The sequence below is a fragment of the Homo sapiens genome, chromosome 6, assembly GCF_000001405.40.
Source record: "Homo sapiens chromosome 6, GRCh38.p14 Primary Assembly".
In the NCBI taxonomy this organism is placed as follows: Eukaryota; Metazoa; Chordata; class Mammalia; order Primates; family Hominidae; genus Homo; species Homo sapiens.
In genome coordinates, this window is record NC_000006.12 from 52,658,968 (window position 1) to 52,686,723 (window position 27,756).

The 27,756-nt window shown below is 42.8% G+C and overlaps 1 protein-coding gene and 1 long non-coding RNA gene across 3 annotated transcripts, besides 7 other annotated features; both read left to right on the plus strand.

The window, feature by feature from the left end:
• Positions 4,193-4,292: an enhancer, noted in NCBI's record as "active region_24687". NCBI's record gives its function as "activates an Ori minimal core promoter by ATAC-STARR-seq in GM12878 lymphoblastoid cells {active_cell/tissue: GM12878}" and the evidence as "EXISTENCE:reporter gene assay evidence [ECO:0000049][PMID:35858748]".
• Positions 5,224-5,518: a silencer, noted in NCBI's record as "tiled region #5928; HepG2 Repressive DNase unmatched - State 1:Tss". NCBI's record gives its function as "represses a minimal TATA promoter and a strong SV40 promoter by Sharpr-MPRA in HepG2 cells {active_cell/tissue: HepG2}" and the evidence as "EXISTENCE:reporter gene assay evidence [ECO:0000049][PMID:27701403]".
• Positions 5,224-5,518: an enhancer, noted in NCBI's record as "tiled region #5928; K562 Activating DNase unmatched - State 1:Tss". NCBI's record gives its function as "activates a minimal TATA promoter and a strong SV40 promoter by Sharpr-MPRA in K562 cells {active_cell/tissue: K562}" and the evidence as "EXISTENCE:reporter gene assay evidence [ECO:0000049][PMID:27701403]".
• Positions 5,434-10,186, plus strand: LOC730101 (uncharacterized). Of its 2 annotated transcripts, NR_024405.1 has the most exons (3): positions 5,434-6,452; positions 7,422-7,551; positions 7,782-10,186. It is a non-coding gene; the product is annotated as an uncharacterized LOC730101 (long non-coding RNA). The 2 variants fall into 2 exon arrangements; NR_024403.1 differs by having other exon boundaries at positions 7,422-10,186.
• Positions 5,890-6,009: an enhancer, noted in NCBI's record as "active region_24688". NCBI's record gives its function as "activates an Ori minimal core promoter by ATAC-STARR-seq in GM12878 lymphoblastoid cells {active_cell/tissue: GM12878}" and the evidence as "EXISTENCE:reporter gene assay evidence [ECO:0000049][PMID:35858748]".
• Positions 11,362-11,862: an enhancer, noted in NCBI's record as "H3K4me1 hESC enhancer chr6:52535127-52535627 (GRCh37/hg19 assembly coordinates)". NCBI's record gives its function as "activates a minimal SCP1, AML or CMV promoter by ChIP-STARR-seq in primed H9 embryonic stem cells {active_cell/tissue: H9 hESC(primed)}" and the evidence as "EXISTENCE:reporter gene assay evidence [ECO:0000049][PMID:30033119]".
• Positions 11,851-12,010: an enhancer, noted in NCBI's record as "active region_24689". NCBI's record gives its function as "activates an Ori minimal core promoter by ATAC-STARR-seq in GM12878 lymphoblastoid cells {active_cell/tissue: GM12878}" and the evidence as "EXISTENCE:reporter gene assay evidence [ECO:0000049][PMID:35858748]".
• TMEM14A (transmembrane protein 14A) lies at positions 12,146-27,621 on the plus strand. The gene is made up of 5 exons (NM_014051.4): positions 12,146-12,278; positions 18,120-18,205; positions 22,846-22,947; positions 25,111-25,198; positions 27,043-27,621. Exons 2-5 carry the CDS (start codon positions 18,136-18,138, stop codon positions 27,080-27,082), a joined length of 300 nt encoding a protein of 99 aa, NP_054770.1. The 5' UTR covers positions 12,146-12,278; positions 18,120-18,135; the 3' UTR covers positions 27,083-27,621.
• Positions 16,291-16,851: an enhancer, noted in NCBI's record as "OCT4-NANOG hESC enhancer chr6:52540056-52540616 (GRCh37/hg19 assembly coordinates)". NCBI's record gives its function as "activates a minimal SCP1, AML or CMV promoter by ChIP-STARR-seq in primed H9 embryonic stem cells {active_cell/tissue: H9 hESC(primed)}" and the evidence as "EXISTENCE:reporter gene assay evidence [ECO:0000049][PMID:30033119]".
• Positions 27,622-27,756: the final 135 nt, after the last annotated feature.

Below are 27,756 nucleotides of genomic sequence, written 5' to 3' on the forward strand. Positions count from 1 at the left end.
AAATACAAAAATTAGCCCGATGTGTGGCAGGTACCCGTAATCCCAGCTACTCGGGAGGCTGAGGCAGGAGAACCGCTTGAATCCAGGAGAAGGAGGTTGCAGTGAGCCGAGATTGCGCCATTGCATTCCAGCCTAGGCGATAAGAGAAAATTGTCTCAAAACAACAACAAAACACTTCTCATACCTAGGTTGCAGCCCATAGCAATTAAATTACAATGTCGGGAGAAGGAGCCAGACATCAGTATTTTTAAAAGATGTCCAGGTGATCCAACAGGCAGCAAATTTGGGAACCACTGAATTAAGCATCTCAGAAGCCTCTGAGATGTTTAAGAAGAGAAGGAAACAAAAGTTTTCCTAAAGTTCTCTTTATAGAGATATCTTTGTAAAAAGGAACAACATAGACGCATCCTATTACATTTTGGCCACAGCCTCAGTCAGTATGAGGGAGAGGCCTTGGACATTTCTTATTCATCTGACTTCACTAATTGAAAACTTAAGCCTAAAAGCCAACATTACTAACTACTTTGCTACTGGAATAATTTACCAAAAATGTTTTATTTATTTATTTTTCGAGGTGGAGTCTCACTCTGTCGTTCAGGCTGGAGTGCAGTGGCGCAATCTCTGCTCACTGCAAGCTCTGCCTCCCAGGTTCAAGCAATTCTCCTGCCTCAGCCTCCCCAGTAGCTGGGATTACAGGTGCGTGCCACCACACCTGGCTAATTTTTTCTTTTTTTAATTTTTAGTAGAGATGGGGTTTCACCATGTTGGCCTCAATGCTGGTCTCAATCTCCTGACCTCAAATGATCCACCTGCCTCAGCCTCCCAAAGTGCTGGGATTACAGGCGTGAGCCACCGTGCCTGGCCCCAAAAATGTCTTAAAAAGCCATTTCATGAATAATGCAATTCCTTCCCCTTCATCTTCATCCCAATACAGTAGATTTATAGTTTCACTTTCTGCGGTTTTAGCCAATGGTTGTCCAAAAATATTAAATGGAAAAATTCCAGAAATAATTAATAAGTTTTAAATTGTGCACCATTCTGAGTAGCATGATAAAATCTCACACCAACTGCTCCAGCCCACTTGAGATGAAAATCATCCCTTTGTCCAGCATATCCATGCTGTCTATGCTACCTTTTGTTTAGTCACTTAGTAGCCCTCTTGGTTATCAGATCAAAAAAACATAGTAGACTGTAATACGGTTCAGTACTATTCAGTTTCAGGCATCCACCAGGGGTCCTGGAATGTACTCTCCATGGATAAGAGGGCTACTGTAATCTTTATGAAATGAACCCTGAGAGGAGAGCTATAAAAATGCTCCTAGGTGTTCCACAGTCTGCGTAAGGTGTTACAGGTGTGTTGTTCTGTTTCAAAAGTAACACTTCATCTACACCTGGCTGGCATTTCAGATCCCTTTAATATTCACTCCCCTTATTTCCAAGAATTTTTTTTTTCTTTTTTTTAACACAGGGTCTCTCACTCTGTCACCCAGGCTGGAGTGCAGTGGCACAATCCTGGCTCACTGCAGCCTCATCCTCCAGGGCTCAGGTGATCCTCCCATCTCAGCCTCCCAAGTACCTGGGACTACAGGCATGCCACCACACCCAGCAAGTTTTTGGTATTTTTTGTAGAGATAGGGTTTCACTGTGCTGCCCAGGCTGGTCTCAAACTCCTGGGCTCAAGCCATATGCCCTTTGGGGGCTCAGCCTCCCAAAGCTCTGGGATTACAGGCGTGAACCATTGTGCCCAGCCCTTTCTATGAAATTTCTTAGAGATCCCGCTTAAACTTGTTATAACGAGCAGCCCTCTTAGAACAAACTATAAAAGAAAGGAGGGAGAAAGGGACTGAACCGTTTCTCTCATTAAACTTGTACCCAATTTGACCTTAACAGTGAGCGTGTCCCATTGCATTGTTGAGAGGATTTTAGAAGGTTCCTGAGTTGCATATTTTCAAGTATTATCATGCCCTATTTTTCAGTCTAAGCCTTCTCTTGGGACTTTTTCTTTTAAATTAAAAACATTGTTTAAAATGTGTTATCAGAGTAACATTAATGTAATGAGAAGAGGCAACCTTATCAGATAAGATAATCTGTTTTTCCTGAAGGATGCCATTTTCATTGCATTAGGTTGTTTGCTCACAGAGACCTGTAGACACATAGATTAGCCCTGCACATCAAGTCTTCTTTCTCACCAAGCCAATTTCCTGTTTGATTTTTACACTCCAAGAATCACAAGTACAGTAGCAGCTCCATGGGGACAAACAGAATAGGAAAGATTGAGTTATCTTTAATATTTGTTTTTGTTTTTTATTTCCAAGAAAATCTCTTTTAGAAAAGATGAAGTTGTCTTGTCCATATATGCCAGTGAATGCATGTAAATCCATTTACCATAGAGAAGAACACAGTTCTTTTACTGTTAAAGCCAAATAGAAGAGTCAGTAGTCATGTCATCCAAGACAGAGGCTCTTCTGGCCTTCAATGTACAGAGACATGTTGCATTAAATTCAGTTAAGGGCAACCAATGAAAAACAAGCTACACACAAAGATTACCTCTCACCCCATCATGCAAAGTTTCCATTCAGCAACATCTGGAGACTGCACAGCCCATTTGATTTAAATAGAAGACTCAGAGGCAGAAACCATATTCAGCCCAGATTCTTTGTGAACATAGCTTGTTGCTGAACCAATTCACTCTGCTTCTAATTCACAAATCTTCAGCCCTAAGCGGCATCATTTGGTTCTTATGAGGCACAGAGCCCTTTCCCCACCCAGGGCCTTTGCTTGGTCCATTCTCGCTGCCCGCATTGTGGCTCCCCTGGCTCTTGGCCTGCTGGCTCCCTCTCAGACTTCAGGTTTCAATTAAAATAACAGCCCTTCCCACTCTCCTTACTTCAGAGTTAGTCTCTGACATGGCAGTCTGTTGATTTCTAAGTCCTATTCCAGGGCTTGACATCTCATAGTTGCTTGTTGAATTAATAAATGTTAACTCCAAAAAATAATAATAAATGCTTTCTCCAGTTAAAAAAGTAGATATTACACCGTTTTTTAACAGAATAGTAGTGACAAATAACAATTGATCGCCTTAGCTGGGTGTGGCAGTTACAGCTACTTGGGAGGCTAAGATGAGAGGATCACTTGAGCCCAGGAATTTGAGGCCACAGTGAATTATAATCTTGCCACTGCATTCCAGCCTGGGCAACAGCGTGAGATCCTGTCTCTTAAAAAAAGCCCAGAAGAGTATATTTTAGTTAAACATACACATGCCTGTGATCATCAAATACCAAGACTGTAATGATTAGCTCAAGCTGTTGAGAAGCAGAAGCTGCCTTCTAATGGTGACATGCAGGATGCTCAGGCAGAATTTTAAATGGGTGCCACATTGAATACCTGACCACTCTATTTCAGAACTGTTCCTCCTCTGGATGCTTATATGCATTTATTATCTATTCCATTCACCCATCCAATAAGCACTACTACTGCTTTAAGACTCTTATGAACCTCTTCCACTAAAGTTTAAGCTTCTGGATACCAGGGACAACTCTTTTTAATAATAATGGCAAATACTATTGAGTATCTCTTACGTGCTAGTCATAATGTTATGTATTTTCCTGTATTAATGTATGTGGTGGAGCTTTGACTTAAACCCGGACAGAATGACAGCAGAGCCTGCACACCTACACTTTTCTTAAACCTGGATCTGGGCCGGGCACGGTGGCTCACACCTATAATCCCAGCTCTCTGGGAGGCCGAGGTGGGCAGATCACTTGAGGTCAGGAGTTTGAGACCAGCCTGGCCAACATGGTGATACCCCATCTCTACTAAAAATACAAACATTAGCCGGGCGTGGTGGCGAGTGCCTGTAATCCCAGCTACTCGCGAGGCTGAGGCATGAGAATCGCTTGAATCTGGGAGACAGAGGTTGCAGTGAGCTGAGATCGCACCACTGCACTTCAACCTGGGAGACTGAGTGAGACTCCGTTCTCAAAACAAAAACAAAAACAAAAAACAAGCAAAAAGCCTGGATCTGACACTTCTTAGCTGTTTGCATGACCTTTGGTGAGTTGCCTCAGTTTCCACCTCTGTAAGGTAGGGAGGATAGAGTATCTACCTCAAGGGTTGTTGTGAAGATTAAGAGTTGATACTTGTAAAATGCTTAGAATAGTTCCTGGCACACAATAGGTACTCATTAAGTGTTTGTTGTTTGTTGTTGTTGTTATTGTAACCATTATTGCTTATAGGAAAGTCCCTTGTCTGGGAAACCCTCGGTCCTGGTTTTAGCATGGAAAGTCCCATGGCCTTGGTAAAAGTTCAAAACGGGTCCATATGGCAGGCTGAGGACAGAGAGTCAGCCTGGCGCCCTGGTGGTCACTCTCCACTGTCCTGCATCTTTTTCAGAGCTCACCTCTGAAAAACTGCCCCTTACTCTTTGTAATTGCCACCCTCCCAGTATTTCAGGACACTGTACTACTTAGCCAACAGGGTGTACAGAAATCATATACCTTTTTCGCACATTCTTCTATGTACTAAGCTTGTCCAACCCGCCTTATTCTGTTGTCGTTGTTGTTCTGTTTTGTTTTGTTTTAGGCTTTTAGCAGCCTGAAGCCGTGGTTTTTAGTTTCTGTCTCTAATGAAGCTGAAAAGAGGGATGAGGAAGGGGCTTTACTGGCCCAGCCAGAAACAGAAACTAAGAACCTGTGACTGTATTCAGTCTCTTTAACATCCCAGATTGTAGACCATCACTCTAGTTTCCCCACTTCCTGTTAACTTTTATAACTATCTCTGAACTTTAACAGAACACTATTTTGTGTTTGCAAATAACGTGCTAAAACGCCTTTCCTAGCCGAATCAAACCCTAGCATCTAGTGCCCCCTGCTGCCCTTTCATAGGAAAGGCAAGAAGGATGAAAGTTTGATTCACTGACAGTAAAATTTTTACTTGTCGAGATTTCAATAGGAATCGGTATAAATATCCTAAATTATATTCACGTTTCATCTTTTCTTTGAACCTACTCCTTGACTTGGTTTTTTGTCTTGCCTTTGCGAACATTCATTTTTGCTTAATTATATTTTTCTCATTTATATTTGCTTTCCTTGAATTTCCTTTTGGTTGTTTTGCTATTGCTATTTGAACTTGTTTTGTCTTGGCTCTTTCTCACTTTGGCCATGCCTTGACACAGACGCGCGGGGTCGAGAGGCTGCGGGCTCGGCGGGCGGAGGGCGCATGGGAGCCTCTTGGCCCTGGACCTGCCCCTGCAATCCTTCCGCGGGATCTCTTGGACCCTCTCCAGGGTCCTGGCTCTGAGACGTTGCTAGAGGACAAATCCGCGGGATTTAGAGCGCGGCCAATGGGACAGCGGTGCCTGGCTGAGTGTCAGGCAAAACTAGCCAATAAACATGTAGTTTGGGCAAGGTGGGTCCGTCCCCTAACTCGGACCTTATAAAGCGCGCCCGCTGCTCCCACAAAGCCGGGCTGTCCCAGGCTGAGGCGGTTGCTCCCCTGCCGGGTGTGTTAGAAGCAAGTTAGAGGAAGAAGGTCTTGGGGACTACGGGCGCCACCGAGAACCCATACGAGGCAGCCGCCGACGGCGGGTCGCCGGGGCGGGGCCAGAACGGCGCCAAGGCCAACCAGAACGGCGGCAAGAACTAGGGGGACGCGGGGCAGGTGCTGTGGGAGTTGGCTGGACCTGTGGGATCGACGTCTGCGCCGTCCAGGAGCCGCCCAGGGGAGAGAGCGGAGACTCGGGAGGAGGATGTGCGCTCCGACCCGGGCAAGGCTTCCCATCCCTCCCTTCCTCTTCTCTCCTTCCCTCCACCTGGGCTCGGAGTCAGGATCTGACCGCGGGCTCTGCCCAGGAAGACCGAGTTCCTTGAGAGCGACACCTAAGCGCCGGGGAAGACAGGGATAGAAGAGACGACAGCCCTTTGATAAGAGGGTTTTTAGACTAACTTCCACCTGTGACGAGTGCATGGGGCCTGCGCCCTGAGAGGTTGCCTTTCCTTTTCCTCTCCCACCCTGGGGGTTTGTGGTGATGTTAAGTTCTGTTAGGACCAAGGTGGATCTCAGTAAGGAGGTAGAGTAGATTTGTGAACAGCTGTCGGAGGTAGAATCTTTGCAGACCCAGAGTGGGTGGGTGTAGACACTTTGCCATGGGTGGTAGCTTTATTTGTAATCCTCCCAGTGAAAGCTTTGGGAAATCCAGCCCTCCCAAACTCTTGCCTTTCTTGTAAGACTTTCTAAGCGCATGGCTTTGTCGTAAGACTTCTCGTGGCCATGTGTCTCACCCTACCGTTCGTCTCACCAATGAACCAGAGCTGGGATACCAGCAAAAAGGACCCAAAAGACTGTTTCACCACAATTGAAGAGGTCGTGGACCATCCCCCAAAATGAATCCCAACACTGGAAGACCAAGAGGGTTGACGTTTGCTATCTTGAAAGCTGCAGCCCCCGTAGAGAAGGTAAGCTGTGTATTCCATCAAAGGTCTGTGTGTGCAGGATTGCATTTCCAAGAGAAGGCATTCCTGGATCATGATCATTTTGTCTGAGCTGCATGTGGCCAAGTGCACTGGGGGAAGCAGAGTTTAGGAACTTGTTCCTGTATGGATTAAGTGGGAAGTGAAAAGTATTAAATATATGGGCGGGAGTGGTCCAGGAAGGGGAGAGTGGACATTTAGTACCTGTTTGGGCCCCTGCACTAAATGCTTCACATATAAGGATTAGAAAAACACCCAAAGATTCTTAGATAAGCATTTCAGTGCCATTTTACAGAAGGAAAAACTAAGATGCAGAGAGGATTAAGCAACTAGAAGAGACCACATAGTGAGTAAAGCGTGGAACAGCAAGGATTCCAACCCTGTAGCGCAGCTTTATGTCTGGAGGAAGCAAGTCTTAGACTGGGACTGTCAGGCCAGGAAGAAAACTCAGAGCATGGACAAAAGGTTCAGAGGGAGTGAGGACCGATTTATATGTGTTGAGGTAAACCAGGTGGATTTCTGTTTTGGAGAAAATTGGGAAGTCAGGCTTAGGTAGAGGGTGGTGTGTTTGGAGGGGATAAAATATTTTGTGCACCTGTAGTTTGTGTATTCCACCTGTGGTAGAATCTTGTGGCTCAGAAAGAAAGAACCTGCCTCGGGTAATGCTACTAAGAAATGCCAAACAGAATTAGAACCAGAGTCTACTTAACCCCCTTCTCAGAAGAAATTGTCCAGGTTTTAGCACTGAAAGTCTTACATCTTGGGAAACTGAACCGTCCCAGTTTTAATGCTAAAAGTCCCTCATCCTGGGAAATCCCTTAGCTGTGGTTTTAGCACTGACAGTCCTGCTTCCTAGGAAACTCCTTACTTCTGGTTTTAGCCCTGAAAGTCCCCAAACCCCTTAGTCCTTGGCAAATCTGGATGATTGATCCACTTACCCTTCTGTTGGAACAGATCCTAGAGCAGAAGGAGCACAGGCTGGGCTGCCATAGCATGGACCCCCAAAAAGCCACTGTCATGAAGAAATATCCTGTGAAGAAAATCTTTGCAGGGCACCTGAACTCCCAAAGCCACTGAGGAGAAGGTAAGGGAGTACTTTGGTGAGTTTGGGGAGGTGAATTTCTCCCCAGGATATGGTTTATGCTCCCCACCAGCCACCAGTGGATGCTTTTTTCTGTTTTCCTTGGCTGGTGGAGTTGTCAGTGGAGCTGCTCTCACCTCCTTTCTTGCCTTTGGAGGGCCGCCTTTTCTGAGTTCCCTTTAGGGCCTGAGCCAGGGGAAGGCATTGGCCCTGAGCTTTGCCTGTGTTTCCAGATGGAGGCCATTGAACTTTCAGTGGATCCAAAGTCTAACAAAAGACAATGTCTTGTTTTCGTCACCCCCCAAAGAAGAGGAACCTGTGAGAAATATTCTGGAGAAATTTAACACCATCAGTGGAAGCAAGGTGAGGAGTCTCTACCTCCATGTGCCTCCCCTCCTGCCTCTGGAGAGGTAGCCCTTTGGTTAATGGCAACCCAATAGGGTAACCAACCATCCCATTTTAGCATTGAGAGCATTGTGTCCTGGGAGACCCTTCCCTGGAATGTAAATAATCCTGGTTTTAGCAACAAAGTGTGGAAGGTTGGAGGAAATGCACAAAACCCGTAAGTTTTAGAGGGTCTGAAAGCAACATTGTCTATCAAATGGATACGGCACAGATTATTCATCTTTACTTGTTGTCACCCATTTGACCACTGATACTGGCAACCATAATTTGTAGTTCAGAATGGTCATCCATCCATCGTTGCATCATTCAAAGTGATGTGGCTTAAGTGTATATAATGATTATTAATAGTTCATCTTCGACTTTGCCTGTGGATTAATTGGTGTGCTTTGTAACAAGATAGTGCTAGTTTAATTTTTTAACATTGTGAATATTGTGACCATGTTTTCTAAGAGGTCAGATAATGAGAATGGTTATAATACCAATGCAACCATGACCCCATCACTGAAGAAGAAGGCTAAACGACTATGTAATTTTGATGATGGATGGAAGGACACATACTACTGAACTAGGAAGGTAAATAACCAAAACAGAGCATACTACATAATATACAGAAAAAAATTTGAGATTGGACATGGTGGAGAAGGGGATGTGCAAGCACATATGGAGGGCAAATCTCACAAGTAAGATGGGACAGGTGAATGCTTCTAAACCAATCAAAAATACCTTTGTTTCCCCAAAAGACACCAATGCTCAGTCAAAAATAGCAGCTGCTGAATTAGCATGGGCATACCAGGCAAATAAGCCTGCATTGTCATAGCGTTCCCTTGATTGCTCTATGAAACTGAGTAAAGTTTCATTTCCTGATTCAAGAATTGCAGCTAAAATATCCTCTGGACAAAGAAGAAGGGAAATTTTTTGATAACAGATGTGTTGGCTCCTTACAGTATAAAGCCAATTTCTGTCATATCTCACCAACAATCCTGGTTTCTACAGTACATCAATTTTAAGTAATATGCCAAATCATGGCAGCAAAAATATGTTCCCTCTAGCTGTTAGGTACTTTGACTTGAAAACAGGAGTTTCAAATCATCTTCTTCATTTCTGTGAGGATTTTAATGAAACTGCTGAAATCATAAAATATTGTTGATATTTTGTCTAAATACAAACTAGACTTAGCTCATCTATCTGTGTATTCGTCAGACAGTATAGATGTAAAATTTTGGCAAATTGCATTCAGTCTACAAACTTCTTACCAAAGAAAATGAAAAGATCTTATCCATTCAATGCCTTGTACATCTTATATACAACACTGCTAAAAAGGGATGTGAGTTGCTTAAATGTGACATTGAGACTTTCATAATGAAAGCTTTTGGTTACTTTTCAATTTCCTCAAAAAGTGCAAAAGCACTTATGGAGATTTTTGACTTCACAGAAATGGAAGGTAACCTCTTTAGACGTGTGCCTGCAAGATGGCTGTCATTGTAAGTGAGCCATAGAAACGATGCTAAAATGTTGGCCTGCCATAAGATCATATTTTCAAAGGACAAGAATAATGTCCTTTGACATTGTTTGAAATCTGAAAGGAGAAAAAAATCAAGAATCTGAAGTGGGCCTTAAAAAAATCAGTAAGTCCCTTGTGACTCTGATTTTTATGAATCTGTCTCTCAAAAGCCAGGGTGCCCCCAGAAGAACTGAGACAAACTGAGTTTCTGAACATTTGAAAATGAGGAGCAGGCTCAGGATCCACAGGGTGTAACCATCCCGTGAGGCCCTGCCTGAGCAGCCAGCCAGTCAGTGAGGCTCTTCACCTTACTTCCATTTCTCTGATTCCATCTATGTACAACTTACGAAAACTTGCATTATTATAGACTGGGAGTTCTTAAATTGGAATCTGTGAATCTAAAGGGGCCAGAGGATAGAAATCAGGAAATCTGAAAACTTCGATGGAAAAAAGTTTTTATTTATTTCCATCAGGAAAATAGGCAACAAACCACAGCAGTATTAGTACCTGTGTCTCTGTCATCACTAGGAATCACAGATATCCACGTTACAGATATCTTAAAATATTTATGTACAGCACCACTCTGAAATTATGGTAATAATTAGATCCACCCCCTAGGTCTTGTAATCTTTAATATGTTAATAAAGAAGCACATCTATTATGTGACAGATTTAAATGTTTAAGAATTTGATTTCAATGAAATTGCATTTCAATAAAATTGGCTTCCTTTGCAATCCTGTGTATTTTATTTTGTGCATTTCTCCAGACTGCCAAAGAGGTTGGTGACACATTGAAAGTTAAGAGTCTCTGCTGTGGATCATGCATAGAAAGCTTTACAAAACAGTTGAGGGGAATAGGCTTTCCTGCATCCTTACCTTGGGCTGCAGCCTTTCCATTAGCTGGAGAAGGCAGCAGCTGGTGCCTATGAGTTGAGAGGGCAGTGGTCCCTTTGCCTAAGAACCATCCTGTTCCCACATATTCAAGGGTATGGAATTCCCATAATATTCAAAGAGTTTTTCTTTAGTTTTAGGTGATACGCCTTGAGTAGGAATATCATGAGGCTGTTTCCAGCTTCGAGTATGTTGGTGATAGGGTGTAAGGGATCTCAGAGCATCTAGTCTTGTCCATATCTTAAATCCAGGCACTGAGGTCCAGAGGGGAGTTATTTACCCAGGTCACATCAGATGAAGATAATGAAGTATTCCAAGAGGATTTTAGTTTTATTCCAAATAGGGTAAGTGTTCTGAGAGTGTGAGGAGAGAAGGTGAGGAGGCTGGGGTAAGGATGGGCATAGAAGGGGATGGAAAGGAGGGCTGAGAGAACTCAGAACCAAATTTCAGGCTATCACTTTCTCCACGCCACATTCCAGTGCCTTGCCATCAACTCTTCTGTGAATCTTCAGGAATTTTATTAATTCCCCAGGACCAACTTAGACTTTCATAAGTTAGATGTAGTTATATTACTTCCCTGAAGCACTTTTATGCACAAAGAATAGATGTAGCAAACAAACTTCACAAGATTTAATTTTTGAGTTTCCTTTTTTATTCTGAGGAATTCCGCTGTAATTCTCAGTGACACAGAACCTCTAGAGCTACTTCACTATGACAACCTTCTTCAAATCTCCAAAGGGCTGTTACATAAGGAAGAGGGTCGGAGTTCTGTATTCAATCAAGAAGGCAGAAGATTGAGATGATAAGTTGCTACAGGGAGGCATAATTTAAAGTCAATTTAAACTGTAATCCCAGCACTTTGGGAGGCAGAGGCGGGAGGATTGCTTTGAGCTCAGGAATTCAAGACCATCCTGGGCAACACAGTGAAACCCCGTCTCTACAAAAAAAAAATAGTCGGGTGAGGTGGCACACACCTGTAATCCCAGCTACTTGGGAGGTTGAGGCTGGAGAATCGCTTGAACCCAGGAGGCAGGAGGCAGAGGTTGCAGTGAGACGGGATGGTGCCACTGCACTCCAGCCTGGGCGACCGACTGAGATCCTGTATTTAAAAAAAAAATAAGGTCAGTTTAAGTTTCGTTCCTGGGATTGAGCGGATTGCCTTGCATTAGGCAAGGTTTTAAGTGCTTTCCAACTCTGGAATTCTATACCTTTCCCAGTAGATATCTAAACCCAGCAAATCCTGGGCCTGAAGTTTAAAACTAGGATCCTCGTCTCCCAACCACATCTAGATGATCCCATAGTGTAATGAAGGGTGCTTGGGCTTTGACACCAGGCAAACTTGGATTTTGACCTGGGACAACTAAGTCACTTGACCTCACTGAACCTTAGCTCCCTCCACTGACAGTGGGGACAGTCTGCTGGAGGGTGTGTAGAAGACCTCGGGTTGCCTTTTGGAGGTTCTGGAAATGTCCCTTGAAAGATGAATGGAGTTAATTTAAAAATCTTCGCCTTCTGTAATTTTGGCTTCTTGCAAACACGCTTCCTGCCAGTCCTGCTCCGTCAGGCGGGAGGCAGCAAACCCCAGCCCTGGCTCCAGGACAGGGCCGAAGGCAGGATAGACGGAGCAACGGGTCCGGCTGCCGCCGGGATGTTGCAGCACAGGGCCTCCTGGCTGCCTGGCCTACAGGCCGCCCGGATTCAGCCGGAGGGCATGGACCGGGTGGAGTCCTGCAAGGCGAGAAGGGACACAGCGCATGCGCGCGGCAGGGAGGGCGTTTCCAGGAGGGAGCGGCCTTTGCTCAGCGCGAGACGGCTGGGCGCCGAGTGGGACAGCGCTGGTGCGGAGACTGCTTCCGGACTCCAGGTACCGCGCTTGGCGGCAGCTGGCCCCAGACTTCTGTCTTTTCAGCTGCAGTGAAGGCTCGGGGCTGCAGGTGAGCTGTGCATCCCGCAATGGAGACCTTCCTGCTCTGAATTTTCTTACAAAACTGCAGAAATATAAGGGGCGTTGCTTAGCGGGCATCCCCTCCCCCGCGCCAAACCTGTACAGCAAACGATGATGCAGAGGACCTTGAGGGGATTTTGCAGGGCATCGGTCTTACCTCCGCGGTATCATTTTTCTCCTCCTCCCGAGTTTCTGCCTTCTGGTATCCCTAAATATCCCACCTATCCTGCCTCCTACCTTCCTGGATCTGGGGTGGTGGGGTGGGCTCATGGACCATTGCAAAATGCTTGGCAGGATTTTAACCTTCTCAGCACCACCCAGACCCCACTCGAAAATGTGCCTTTTGTGCCCTCCAAGAGCTCAAGGGTAGGTAATTGTTATATCTTTAGCATGTGAAAATGCTTTTTATGTAACAGTTCACCGAAAATCTCTTAATTCTCCGAATTTTGGAGGATTTGGGGCGGGCAGCGAGGCTGTCCCCTGTCACCTTGTTTTGTACCTGGTATGGTAAATCGTTTTGCTGCATTGCATCCAAGATGCGTTTTAGTCCTTCCAAGGCTTGAGCATCACATTTGTGATGAGAGCGTGTGATGTGCTGTGCACATCCTCTCCCACCTTATCCCTTCCATGTTAACACAGCCTCTGGCTTTAATGTGTGCTTCTGGCCTGGCCACATGGCTCCGTCATGGAATAGGTGATTCTTTTGTCTGAATATTCTCTGTGAGAACAGAATCTTCTTGCAAGCATTGGGAGTAGATTTATTTTGCCTCTTTAGAACAACAGTCAGTTCGCTAAGGAGATTAAGGGGCTACCTGTTTCCTGGCAATAAAGCTGTATTGGGTAGGTCAGTTACAGAATGTCTTCAGGCAGAAGCTGTTCCTTTGGTTCACTCACTCATTTATTCATTTAACAAGTATTTTAAGTACCTGCCTTGTGCATGGCAGGGTTCTTGGTGCTGTGAGGAGGACAAAGATAAACTGAACCTTGGTTTGCCCTCAAGGAGCTTGGCTGGCTGAGAGTTGAGAGAATCCCAACCAAGTAAAAGGGTATGGGTCCTCAAGAGAAGATCGCAGGAAGAGCTGGGGGGCTCAGGATGGAGTGGAATTAATCTTTCACAACAGCTACTTAGCTTTAGGAGAAAATTAGGTCTAGAAGTTACACCTGATAATGAAAGAACTCTCATAAGCTTCAGATCTGTATGTAAGGGTGTTTTCCGGACTGTGTGTTGGGCGTCTCAGACTGAATACATTCTAAACAGGTCCCATCATTCCTAGCCACCTCCCTCTTCCCACCGCCACACACCTGCTGCTGTTCCCATGTTCTCTGTCTCAGGGAATAGCATGAGGCTCCCCGACTCCCTACTTCTCCTAATGGTCTAAGCCAGATACCTAGGGGTGAGTCATCTCTGATTCACCCCTGACTTTCCCTTCCCGCCTCAAATTCAATTCTGATTCTACCTCCTGAACTTCTGAAATCTGTCCACCTTCTCTCCATTCTCATTGCCATTTCTCTAGATAAGCCTACCGTTATCAACTAAGCTCTTGCTTACTTTACTGCAACAGCTTCCCGATTTATCTCCCTGCCTCACTTCACAACCCATCTTCACTACTGCAACTGGGAAGTGCTTGCTGGAATTTAAATCTGATTGTGAGGCTCCCTTCAGTGATCCTTCATTGCCCTTAGGACGGAACCAGACTCCCTTTACGGGGCTTATGTGGGTGTACAGCCCTGTCTTTCTCACCAGCACCCTCTCTTTTCACAAGCCCCTTGCACTTTTCATTTTGAGAACATGCTTTCTTGTGCCATTAGGGCCTTGCACATGCGCTCCCTTCTGCCAGGAACACCCTTCCCTGCACCCTCTTCACTTGACTTATTCATGCTCCCCTGTAGGGTAAATGCACCTGACAGCAATAATTAAAGCATACCCTTAGAATGACCCTGTGTGGCAGATGAACCTGAATGTGTTTTCTGAACTAGGGAACCCAGGCCTGCCCAACCCAGAGATTTATTTCTTGTCTATGAAGAACATCTGAGCCCCTGCCCCACCTGTCCCATAGAACAGGGGCCATACGGGGAATTGAGGCCTTGAATTTTGAGTTAAATCAAGTTGCCAGGTAGAGGTCATTGAGGGGAGGGTGTTAAGTGAAAATGCTGCATAAATTGCATGATGTTTGCAAGCGGTTGTTTTCCTGCCCAGCTCACCACCACTGGACTCCCTCCTCTGTTTGTAAGCCCCTAATGGGTCTCTTTTGGCCTCTTGAACCTGTTGCCTTCCTTATTGAGGTTAATAGGGGTTTGGCACAACATCTCTCCAAGGTCCCAGCTGGGACCCTGTTTGATCTGGGCATCCTTAGGCTCCCAGTCCTTGCTGGGTGCCACTCCTTGTTATGGTACCCACACCTCTCCTCTTAGGGCTCATTCACACATCTGCCTCCTACAGCTGTGTTGTACTATAGTTCCTGGAGGACCAAGGCCATGTCTTAGCACTTACCATTGCTTCCTGCTGCCTTGCCTAAAGAAAATGCTAAATAAATAGCTGTTAAGTCGAATTGACTACAAATATATGTTATAATACTATGGTATGATTCATTAACTAAATTACAAATTCACCCTACCTCAGTTTTCTCAGTGTGCTGAAATAGTAATAGCCTTACACATGTCAAGCTTAAAATAGGTGTAAGGGTGAATGAGAAGAGTAATCATTGGAGCAGCTAATATTTGTTGAGTGCTCAGTATGTGCAGGCACTGTTCTAAGTGCTTTACAGTATTAAATCATTTAATTCTCAGAACAATCCTATAAGGTAGATATTTTTGTTATCCCTATTTTAAAGATGGAGAAACTGAGTTATTGAGGTTCCACAGCTAGTAAGTGGTGGTATCAGGTTTGAAGATAAGCATACTTTATAGCATATGGTTAGCTCCTTTAGAAAGATAATAAGTAGGATCAAACATGAGAAGTTCATGGGGCTGAACATTGTAAGTTACCAGATGGAACACAGTGCCCTGTGGTCACAACTTTAAGCTATGAAGAGCATGTGATTGATCCAGAATTGAAAACTCTGAAGAACATGTTTGGTTTACATGTTCGCTTTTTTTCAGCAGCTAACTCAGTTATCAGAGGTGATGTTGCATAGAGGTTAGGACTGAGACTTCCCTAAGTCAGAGATCTTTGTTTTGCTGTATAACCTTCAGGCATTGCTTGCATTCTCTGTGTGCCACTTTCCTCATCTGGAAAATGAGGATAATCATGACAGTACATACCATAGGGTGTGGTCATGATTACATGAGTTGATACACATAAGGCACCTAGAATGCCTTAGAATGGCACCTAGCACATAGTAATTGCTCAAAAACATTATAACCTCTTTATTATTATTATTTGTTTAGCCATCATTCAGTCAGCAAATGGTTTTTGGACCCAGGTTCTCCCTACATGCTACATCCTACTGTACCACTTCTCGGCCACAGATGAGCTCTCCTGTTTTAATTCTCCTTCCTGCAGATGATGAGCATTTTTCAGTGTTGCCTCCTTTTTGGTGCTGTCATCTCCTGTGCCTCAGCTTCCCTCCCCCATACCCTTCCTCATAGTAAGTTCTAGTGGATGACTCTGAGATCAGCTCAAAATTCTTCTTCTTTTTTTTTTTTTTTTTTTTTGAGACGCCCAGGCTGGAGTGCAGTGGCACGATCACAGTTGATTGCAACCTCTGCCTCGCAGGTTCAAGGGATTTTCCGGTCTCAGCCTCCTGAGTAGCTGGGATTACAGACATGCACCACCATGCCACGTCCGGGTAATTTGTTGTATATTTAGTAGAGAAGGGGTTTCACCATGTTGACTGGGCTGGTCTCAAACTCCTGACCTGAAGTGATCCACCAGCCTCTGCCTTCCAAAGTGCTGGGATTACAGGCGTGAGCTACCTCGCCTGGCCCCTTTTTATGTTCTACATTAATTTATTACCAATTGATAATGGGAGATAAAAGGCCCATTAACCTAAATGATAAGCAATGAGAAAATTGTAAAAATATGCAAGGAATCTCACTTACCATTCCTCACATTTACAAAGATAATTACCTTCCCTGTGGAAGAAATATAGACGTGAGAAAGCTCAGAAATAAAGGCACCACTAGGGGTCTTAGAACTTAAAAAGCTGTAAAGAACTCCAGAACTCTTTTCATCTATTCTCCTAACTTGCAGGGAGAGTTGAGGGTGAGGGAGGGGCATGGTCTGAGGCCCAGTGGCCACATCTCTAGCCTGTGGCTGGCACGCTATCTACTGCATCTGAGAGAATTGTGGGCAGGGTTTCAGTGGAACTTCTCACCACTGGGTATGTTTCAGCTGCTGCTATGATGCACAGTAGGATGTCATTGTCATCCATTTAACTTCATGCTGGGGCTATATTGTATTCTTTAGTGATTTGCCATTGATTAAGTGTGGATGTCTCTGCTACCACAGAAGAGCTATCTTGCAAGGAAACTAATGACAAAGCCATTGTTTAAACTGAATTAGTCAATCTCCAAGAAGACATCCATCTGTAAAGAATGAGAGGACTAATATCTGTACAGACATGAAAGAATTATAAGATGGAATTGTGGAAGTTAAGGAATTTAGAGGAGGAAGAAGGCATTTGCTCCAGATCACTTTGATAGTACAGACTAGAGTCAAGGAAATTAGGAGGTAATTAATAAGGGTAGAAGTCAGGGGAGAAGGTTTAAAGGGAGGTGGCATACAGGGGATAGTCGGGCTTTTGGAGGTGGACAGGGAGGGAGGACATTTCAGGCATGGAAGTGAAAAGTGAAGATTGTAGTGTCACAGTTCAGTGAAGAGACCTGGCTGACCAGAGCAGAAGTTTTATTTGGGTAAGTGGAAAGAATTGAACAGCTGAGAGTATGGCAGATCTTGAAGACAGGCAGAGGAGAATCAGCTTGAGGTACCCCCCAGAGTGTGCTTAACAGTGATGAGGATGAAGGGGAAAGTAGAGGGTTGGGAGAGGTGAAGTTTGAACCTCTTTTTTCCCTTGAGACAGGGTGTCACTCTGTCATCCAGGCTGGAGTGCAGTGGCACAATCACGGCTCATTGCAACCTCAACCTCCAGGGCTCAAGCAATCCTCCCAACTCAGCATCCTGAGTAGCTGGGATCACACGTGCATGCCATCACACCCAGCTAATTTTTTGTATTTTTACTAGAGATGGGGTTTTGCCATGTTGATCAGGTTGGTCTCAAATTCCTGGGTTTAAGCCATCTACCTGCCTTGGTCTTCCCAAGTACTAGGATTACAGGCGTGAGCACCATGCCTGGCCGAACTTCCCTTTCTTTAGTAGACTAGAGAAATTAATTTCTGTAATTCTGTGGAATGTCTTTGTATTAGTCATTCTCACACTGCTCTAAATAACTACCTGAGACTCGGTAATTTATGAAGAAAAGAGGTTTAATCAACTCAACTTCCGCAGGCTGTACAGGAGGCGTGGCTGGAGAAGCCTCAGGAAACTTATAATCATGGTGGAAGGCAAAGGGGAAGCAAGCATGTCTTCACATGGCGACAGGAGGGGGAGAGCACGTGAAGGGGGAAGTGCTACACGCTTTCAAACATCCAGATCTTGTGAGAACTTTAGATCATGGAACAGCACTAGGGGGATGTTGCTAAACCATTAGCAGCCACCCCCGTGATCCAGTCACCTCCCACCAGGCCCCACCTCCAACACTCAGGATCACAATTCAACATGAAATTTGGGTGGGGACACACAGCCAAACCATATAAGCGTATCATTTTTAGATACATTCCCTCCCCAAAACTTTTTTATTTTGTATAATTTGTCCTTTCCCCCTTGCTTTAGAATTGCAACCTTGCCAATGGACCTGATCGGTTTTGGTTATGCAGCCCTCGTGACATTTGGAAGCATTTTTGGATATAAGCGGAGAGGTAAGCCTAACCCAAATTTTCATGAAAGGGAATTAGTGGGGGTTTGGAGGTTGTGCTAGGTCATGTGAGGCTCTGTAAGTAGGATGAGAAGCTAAAGATGCCTTAGAGGTGGCTGAAGACCAGCGTGTCTTGGAAGGGACTCATGAAAGGAAGAGGCTTCCGTGGGGCTGAGCATGACAGAGTGTTCCAACCTGGGGGTTCTGGGCCTCTCTTCCACCACAAAACTCTCACTTCACTTCATCATCAGTTGCATAGTTAATTGATTTAATCTCCCTCAGGACCACTGCTTATTATTAAATGAGGATTTTTTTTTTTTGCTTTACATAATCGTGGTACCAAAAAACTGAGTTATATTGATCCTGTGTGTTGTAATGAAAACATTGTTAAATATTCAGTTATCATATCCAAAGTTGTCTCTTCACCTTTGTCCAAAAGAGGGGGGAAAAAAACTCAGGTAATCAATTAAAGAGTTTTCATGGAGAAAAAGGAAAGGTCAAATTTTTTTATTTTACTTTTATTTTAGAATCATTTATAGTTATGATGTCTCCTAGTTATGTTTCATATATATACACAACCTTTAGTCATCTTTCTGACAAACTGTCTCTTACGTTTTAATGACATTTTTTAAATGAAGTTTTTTATTTCAAAGGGTATTGTATTTGTGGCAGTGGTTGACTTGAATTTGAGTGAAAAAGCCAGGTCTACATGGTTACCAGTTAGCTTCCTTCCTTAAAGGCTGCTAAGAAGTCAAAGACCAGAAGCACCGTATAGCTCTTGTAGCTGGGGGGCTGGCAGGTAGAATTGACCATCATCTACGATTCCTTAAAGCCTGTAATTCACCTTGGATTTTTGTTCGTTGTTTCTGTCTTAATGTATGTATTAGAGATGTGTATTTGAAGGAAAAAAAAAGATGATGGCACCAAAGTAAGACCTGTAAACCAAGTACTCAGAGGTTGATGTTTCACAATCTACTTTAGAAAGAACTCAGTTTAAAATGCTAAGATTGTTTTTGAAAAAAAATTTTCACTGTCAAAGACAATGTCTAAATAACTTCTATTACAGAACAGAAAAGAACATCTGGGCATTTTTGCCTGCCTTTATGAGAGGTGGAAAGAAAGTGGGGAGAGAGATATAGAGAGTGTGTGTATGTGTGTGTTTGTGTGTGTGTGTGTGTGTGTGTGTGTGTGTGTGTGTGTGTGGAAGGAATCATTTTATTCTAACTCACATCTCTTCATTGTTTACCAGCTGGTGGGAACAAATGAAATTACATTAGCTGTGAGGTCTCTGATTTCAAGGGCTTGTTGTCCACCTGCACAATATGGTTTCTTGGCCTCCTGCAAGAGCCCCCTACTAAGTGATCCTGGAAGCCCCCAAGGGTATTATGGGTTCACAAGGAAGCTCACTTTGTAGTATAATGTGGGTTAAAAGCATGGGCCACAGAATCAAGCATTCCTGCATTCCAGTCTTGACGCTGCCACTTACCAGCACTGATACTCAGGTGAGATGTTTCAACATCTGGGCCTCAGTTCCTCACCTGTAAATTAATCTGTTAGGATTAAATAAGATGATGCATGGTACACATTTCACATGGTGCCTGGCATAGAATAAAGTTTTAATCTTCTTGTTTTTTTCTGCTGCTACTGCCCTGCCAGTGGGAGGTCTGTGAGCCATGAGGCATAATACCTTTTTCTAGTTTTGTACTCTAGTTTTGTATTATGTTCTAAGCTGCCAGTGGCTCGAATGTCTTAGAATGTGTGTGTAAAGTGAGTTAACTCTCCTTTGACTTAGAGCTTCCCTAGGTATGAGTCCTATGTAGCTGGGCCAGGAGACCCTTCTACGGGACAGTTATTGAGAATAATCTTGGGTCGGTGAAAGATGTGATGTCGAAATGGTGTTTAGTGGGAGGACACAGATGTATCCAAATCCTAAACTAGACCAGCTGTGAGACACAAGTTGGGTTAAACGGAGAAGCTGATAGATTTTTATTTTGATGGGGGTACAGTGGGGAGAGAGGGCAGCCAGTGGCGGGACACAGGATGCTGAGCACTGTGCTTGCCTGGGCTCACCCCTCCTCCCAGGTAGGTCTCCAGAGAGGTGGATGACCAAGAAGATGCTATGATATGGAGGCTCTTCCTAGGCCAGGTAACATCGAGTGCCCAGAGTGAAAGAGGGCCAGATGGCATTCCCTGCCTTGTCCCACACTAGGGCTGAACCAGACCTTACACCTTCCTACTCCAGTTGAAGGGAAGGGCACTGACACAGCAATCCCTTCAGAGAGGTGCAGGTGTGCTTGCTGGGCAGGCTGCTATTTGGACGACCATAAGAGCACCTGCAGGGAAGCTCCCAGATGCATCTTTCAACTCTTTTTAAAACTCCTCTTCCAAGACTGCCCCACCCAGATCAGGCATCCCAGGAAGTGGGAAGGAAAAGAGCTTAGAGCTCCTTTTCTTGTAGCCCCCACTATGGGTCACTGAGCTTGTTCTCAGGATCTTTGCTTTCTTCCACCAGCGTGGTTTTCTTGTAAAACAGCCCACAGTCCTGCCACCTTCCTCAGGCAAGATGAAATGTCTCAAGAACCTTCCTGGTTCTTGCTGCTGGTGAGCCTGCCCCTGCTGTTTGCTGTCTGATCTCATCAAGACTGAAGTGTAGACACTGCCACTTTCTCCACATACTTAAGTGTGCGTGTTTGGTGGTGGTGGGGAGGGTGGGGTGGGGTGATCCTAACAGTAAATAAACCTTCAGGGTATACAGAAAGGAGCATCATAGAATCTCTAGGTGAGAAGACACCTTAATGGTCACCTAGTTGTGCATTTCAGAAAGTGTTTTAATCTCCTTAATATCCTTATCTGGTATCTTCTGCTTGAACATGACCCATAATAGGGGTGCATTAAATCAGTATTTATCAAGTGCTCCTATGTACCTGGCCCTGTGTCTCGCCCTGGGGAAACAGCAATCGCTCACAAGTGAGTAAGGGCAGACTGACATTCAATCCATGAACAGCATATAAACATATGATCAGGAATAGCGGAAGACTATGATGGGGGCCCTTGTTCAGAATGGTGGGTTGGAGAAGACAACACTTAAGCAGACATCCGAAGGTGAGCTACACTTGGCCAAGTGAACAGTGCAGAGACAAGCAGTCTGCACAAGGAACAGTATGTCTGAAAGCCATGACGAATAGAGTTTGGTATATTCAGAGAACTGAAAGAAGGCCAGGGTTCCCACAATATAGCAAACTGGATTATTTTTCCTAAGAGCTTTGGGAAGCACTAAGGTTTTTAATTAGGAGAGTGACCTGTCCAGATGTATGTTTTTAAAAGATCATCTTACTGTGTTTGAAGAATAGCTTTTGGGGGAAACAATGTGTAATTTAACATTATCTCCAACTGTAACATTCTAAGCCACTATATATTTATATATTTATATATATATATATATATGTATATATATGTGTATATATATATGTGTGTATATATATGTGTGTGTATATATATGTGTATATATATATATACATATATGTATATATATATATACACATATATATATGGCATGGATGATTAACCCCGTTTTACAACTGCTAAAACTTAGAGAGGCTAAGTGACTTAGCCAGAGTCCTTTAGCCAGCAAGTGAAAGAATTAGGAGTAGAACCTAGCGTGTTTGTCTTCTCATTCAGAATGCTGCTCTGGTGTGTGTGTGTGTGTTGTGTGTGTGTGTTTGTGTGTTGTATGTGTTGTGTTTGTGTGTTTGTGTGTGTGTGTGTATTGTGTGTGTATGCATGCATGTGCTGCAGTGGTTCTTAACCCTGGCTGCACATTTGAATTTCCAATGGATATTTTAAAAATGAGATGCTTTGACCCTACCCCCCAGGGATTTTAACCTAACAGATTCTAAATAGGGTGAGTTCCATGAAGCAAGGATTGTGTGTGTCTTATTCATAGTGTCACTGCCATGTAACCCACTGTCCAGTGCACAGAAAGTGCTTGGTGTTTGCCACAGTGCTCTGGGGTGGGTATGTGGGTTGGGGGCTGGGAGTGTACTGGTGGGGTGAGTGCATGGGATAGGGACTGGGTAGCTGGGGTCAGTATTCTGATTCTTCGTCTTTCTTGGTAGGGCCTCTATTAGTCCTTGAGTCCTGACATCTTGAGGCATGAAGGTTTGTTAATTATTCAGGATGGAACCATTGCTTGGTTTGTATAGCACTTCTGTCTTTACCTCTATAAACTAAAACTACCTTTGCATCTTAGTTTTTATCATCACAACCTCATTGCAAAAAGGAGGCAAAGAGAATAGGAAAAATTAAAAAAGAAGGGCTTAAGGAAGTTAAATAATTGTCCAAGATCATGTAATCAGTGTCCAAGCCACCAGAACAAGGCAGGTTTTCTTATTTCCCCAAGTGACATCTAACCCCACTGCACTGCTGTGCCCTCAGGGCTCCTCTGCCTTGCATTTGGGTTCAGCAGGAAACAGTCATCTCCTAGAAAGTATCCATGAAGAGGCCTATTCTTAATTTGGCTTTGTCCAGTTACTGTGCCCAAGTAGGAATACATTTGAAGGTGCCTGTATCATACTAGAAGTAATGGAATGAATTCCTTTCCTTTTGGGATTCTCTTTGTGATCTCATATTTTTTTCCCCTTCCAGGTGGTGTTCCGTCTTTGATTGCTGGTCTTTTTGTTGGATGTTTGGCCGGCTATGGAGCTTACCGTGTCTCCAATGACAAACGAGATGTAAAAGTGTCACTGTGTAAGTAAGGCATTTTTCCTGGTTACAGAGACTCAAACATTGGAGGTGATCTTTTTGATACCCTATGCTAGATATACTAGAACATATTTAGTCAAATGGCAAATGGCCATATGCATGTGTTGAGGCTGAATACAACACTTATTCCTTTCTAGAAAGACCTGATAAAAAATGATGGTACTGCTACCAGGCCTTCCAACTCAGAAGAATATTTCTATAAAAACTCGTTACTAGAAAAATTGAATTAGGAAAAGCAAGGAATTATTTTCAGATTTTCTGCTAACTCTCCTAAATGCATATTTAGCATAGTTTTTACATTGCTGTGGAAATAACTAAAAAAGAGACAGCCTTGCATTATTTCATTTAATTCACAAACATCTTTTAGATTCTGCACTGCCTTAAGACTTAACCTAAAAAAGCAAGGCTGACGCTTTTTTAGCTACTTCCCTTGTTAAGTTTAATGGGAGAATATCCACAGAAAAAATGGAAACCTGTGTGTTTAAAGTCACCAGGACACTTGACTTTCATCTCACTTGAAAGAGATACACAGTGAAGATTTAGAAAACCATACCAAGGACATTTTCTCTAGTTGATTTATTATTCAAAGTGCCTTGGTCGTGTATGGAAAAAAATATAAATGAAGACAAAATTGTTCTATATTTGAAGGAGAGTGAGAGATTTGGGGTTTTTTTTTTTTTTTAGTTATTTTTATAAGGGGCTAGGGATATTTTTAGTAATGAGGTTGTGTTAGATGTATCAGCCAGATGTAGTGATATTAGGATTTTTATTGATATGCATTTAAATAGTTCACAAGTATTTATTGTCAGTCATTTTATTTTTTATATCAATAAACAGTTTTTCTTTGAAAGCTGTTTTTAAATTGTGGCATTGATGTCCTAATCTCTTACATAAAACTACCTCTCCCTTCATAGATACAGCTCCAAAAAGGCTGACATGATGCTTCTGAATAAAATACTATTGCTTAGACTATTATTTAGTCTCCAGGCATCAAATTCTCCAAAATGGGATGCTACAAAACAAAACCAATCAGCCTTCTTTTTAGTATTTTTTTTTTATTAATCAGATCTTACTTGTAAAAGATACATTAACTATTTTCTTTATATTCAGTTAACTGAACATTAATGAGTGTCTCCTGTGGGTCCAAGTGTGCTACTTAGTGTTTCTGAGGGAAGTTGAATAAAGCTCAGTGCTAGCCTTCAAGGCGTGTTCTTTGAATAGAAATTTAGGTTAGAAAAAGACTTTCTTAGCTAGGCATGGTGGCTCATGCCTGTAATCTCAGCACTTTTGGAGGCTGAGGCCGGTGGATCACTTGAGGCCAGGAGTTCAAGACCAGCCTGGCCAACATAGCAAGACCCTGTCTCTACTAAAAGTACAAAAATTAGCTGGATGTGGTTGTACATGGCTGTAATCTCAGCTACTCGGGAGGCTGAGGCAGGAGAATTGCTTGAACCCGGGAGGTGGAGGTTGCAGTGAGCTGAGATCACGCCACTGTACTCCAGCCTGGGTGACAGAGCAAGACTCTGTCTCAACAACAACAACAACAACAACAACAAAAAAAAAAAAAAGAAAAAGAAAAGGTCTTTCTCTTTTGAAGATATTTCAGGAATGGATTTTAACATGTTTGTTTACCCAGAAACCTTTTCGGCGAGGTAGATGATGATGAAGTGTTTCTTTGTTTGTTCTTTTGTTGTTTTTTTGAGACAGAGTTCGCTCTTGTTGCTCAGTCTGGAGTGCAGTGGCGTGATCTCAGTTCACCACAACCTCTGCCTCCCCGGTTCAAGCAATTCTCCTGCCTCAGCCTCCCGAGTAGCTGGGATTACAGGCATGTGCCACCATGCCCTGCTAATTTTTTTTGTATTTTTAGTAGAGACGAGGTTTCTCCATGTTGGTCAGACTGGCCTCAAACTCCCAACATCAGGTGATCCACCCATCTCTGCCTCCCAAAGTGCTGGGATTATAGGCGTAAGCCACTGGCCCGGCCATGAAGTGTTTTAATAGAGCACTTTATCTTTTCAAGACAATGGCAACTCAGTACCTATCCATAATAGTTGTAATGTTAGAAAGCTTTAAATGGTACCCGCTGTTTTCCCACAAGCATTGATAACATGTTTGAAACTCTGGTTCATGAATTAGTTTGGTTTTCAGTTACAGCTTTCTTCCTGGCTACCATAATGGGTGTGAGATTTAAGAGGTCCAAGAAAATAATGCCTGCTGGTTTGGTTGCAGGTTTAAGGTAAGTAAAACTATTTTGATCAATACTTTCCTCTGCTGTTGTTTTGAAGTGCTGAATTTTTGGGAAACATCAATTTTAATTTGAAAGATCAAAGTCCTTTTTGTTATAATAAGCATGACAGTAAAAACCTTAAGATAGCATGGATTCAGTGGGTCTTTGATATTGATGTACCCATGAACATTCTTATTGGATACGCATAGTGTTGCTGTAGTATCTGGTCACATAGGCATACTTGCCTTTTTCAGAAGAAAGAGCTAACTAAACTCAGCCTCATTTTTCCTCAAGATTCACCCATCTGCAACACTAAATGTGTTCATTTAAATCTAATACTCAGTCCCTTTTAGAGAGTTTGACAGAGTGACAGTGTGATACAGTTATTTCAAGTTTTTAAGGGACAGAAATTTAATATTTTTAAGAGTTTTTAAGAGAGAAGTTTTAATATTTTTTAAAAGATAAACAGAGGGCCTCAAGTTTCTCTTAATTTGATCCAGTAATTCTATCCATGAGATTAAGCATATTACCAAATAAAAATTTAGAGATAACATTTTAAAAATTTCTCCAGAAAGCTGGCTTTATATGTTGAAAGCCATAAACATGTTTATTTCCTTTGATAGACATTTTCACTTTTTGGAATTTATTCCAAAGCAGTGAGATATGCACAAAGACTGATGTTCATTGCAACTTTATTTCTAGTGAAAACACAATAGACTGAAAAATTAGGAACAACCTAACAGTTCACCAGTAAGGAGATGTTTGAAAAAATGTTTTGTCCATTTAATGGAATATTGAATGAGCATTACATTTTTATGTTTTCAAAAATGATTTGGTGGCATTGGAAAATCTTAGTGACATAATAAGGTATAAAAACAGGATGAAAACAACCACATATAGTGTGATTAAAAAAAGTTTGTGTATAAAAAAACAGGAAGGAAATATTTCAAGCTGTTAGTGTTTTTCTGTGGGTGATAGTGTGATGAATAATTGTAATGTTCCTCTTTCTACTTTTGTGTAGAATTTTCTAGTGTGACTATGTATTATGTTTCAGGGAGGGGAGGAGGAGTGTGATTACAAAAGACAGCTTTCCAGTTATAGCCCTGTTCTAAAAGTGATACTTGGTGGTGGGAAGAATCAGAAGTAGGGTTTATGGGCTGGGTGCGGTGGCTCATGCCTGTAATCCCAGCACTTTGGAAGGCTTTGGCGGGTGGATCACTTGAGGTCAGGAGTTCAAGACCAGCCTAGCCAACATGGCAAAACCCCATCTCTACAAAAATTAGCCAAGTGTGGTGGCGGGCACCTGTAATCCCAGCTACTTGGGAGGCTGAGGCAGGAGAATTGCTTGAGCTCAGGAGGTGGAGGTTGCAGTGAGCCGAGACTGCGTCACTATACTCCAGCCTGGGTGACAGAGTGAGACTCCATCAGAAAAAAGAAAAAAAAAAGGAAGAAAAAATGAAGTAGGGTTTATGGATCCGGAAGAAGGCCTCAGTTAATAGAAAGTAGCTGAGATTGAATTAGTAACTGCCCCAAGTTGGTCCTCGATTATTTTTTCAAGTTGCTTTATTTTACTAGCTTCTGAAAGTTTGTTTCTTCCCAAACCTTTCTCTTATAAACCCTCATCCAAGGTTTTCAGAACAACAGGTTCTGATTTTTCCTTATTCATTTAGCGAACATTTTAAAGTGGCTAATTCAGTTATGTCTGGGATGTTTTAATCCTCCAAGGGGTTGAGCTGGGAGAGCCCCCAAGCCAAGGATTAGTAACACTACTGGGTAGGCGAGTGCATGGCCCTTTCTGTCTTATGCCAGATAAAAGTGACTCTCCCTTTGTCTTTGTTTTATTTTAAATCCAGCCTCATGATGATCCTGAGACTTGTCTTGTTGCTGCTCTGAGCATCTGGAGGAACAGAAAACTAAGTTCATGTCATCCTGCTGTAATGGGCAGAGCATATTTTTTTTGTATTTAAAAGATAAACTTCAATATGGAATGCTAGAAACACAAATAGCACTGTCACCTCTAATATGAACATTAGTTTGAGGTAGTTTTTTTCTAAAGCAAAAATTTTAACTGTTTTCTAATTGTCAAGCACTATTTTCATTAAAAGTGTCTAATGAATCATGATATACTCTTCCATTTGTTGTGTCTATTTTTTATATATTTGGTATTTTTTGAAAATTCCAAATACTCATGTCTCAAGTAAGCTTAAACTACAACTTGTCACATAAAGGAAGTCTTAAGTGGAGTTCACAGAATGATAATGTATCTATTTGTCATTTGTGTTATATTTGAAATTATTAGAAATTATGCTTTTTCCATTTTAATTGTATTGCTGCCAGTGCTATTTTTTTCTTTAAAAAATTTTATTCTTAGCACACTGTTATGTCCTAACTGAATGTATTCAGTATTCAAATAAAAGACATTTTGGTTCAAACCTGTTTCTTTCATGTCAGTTTTTCCTCTGAATACTCAAATCATCTTTGACATTTAAATATTCAATTATTAACGAAAAGGGTTGAGAAGGAGGGTTTATTTAAGCCAACATTCTACTTCCTGAGGCGTAGATATT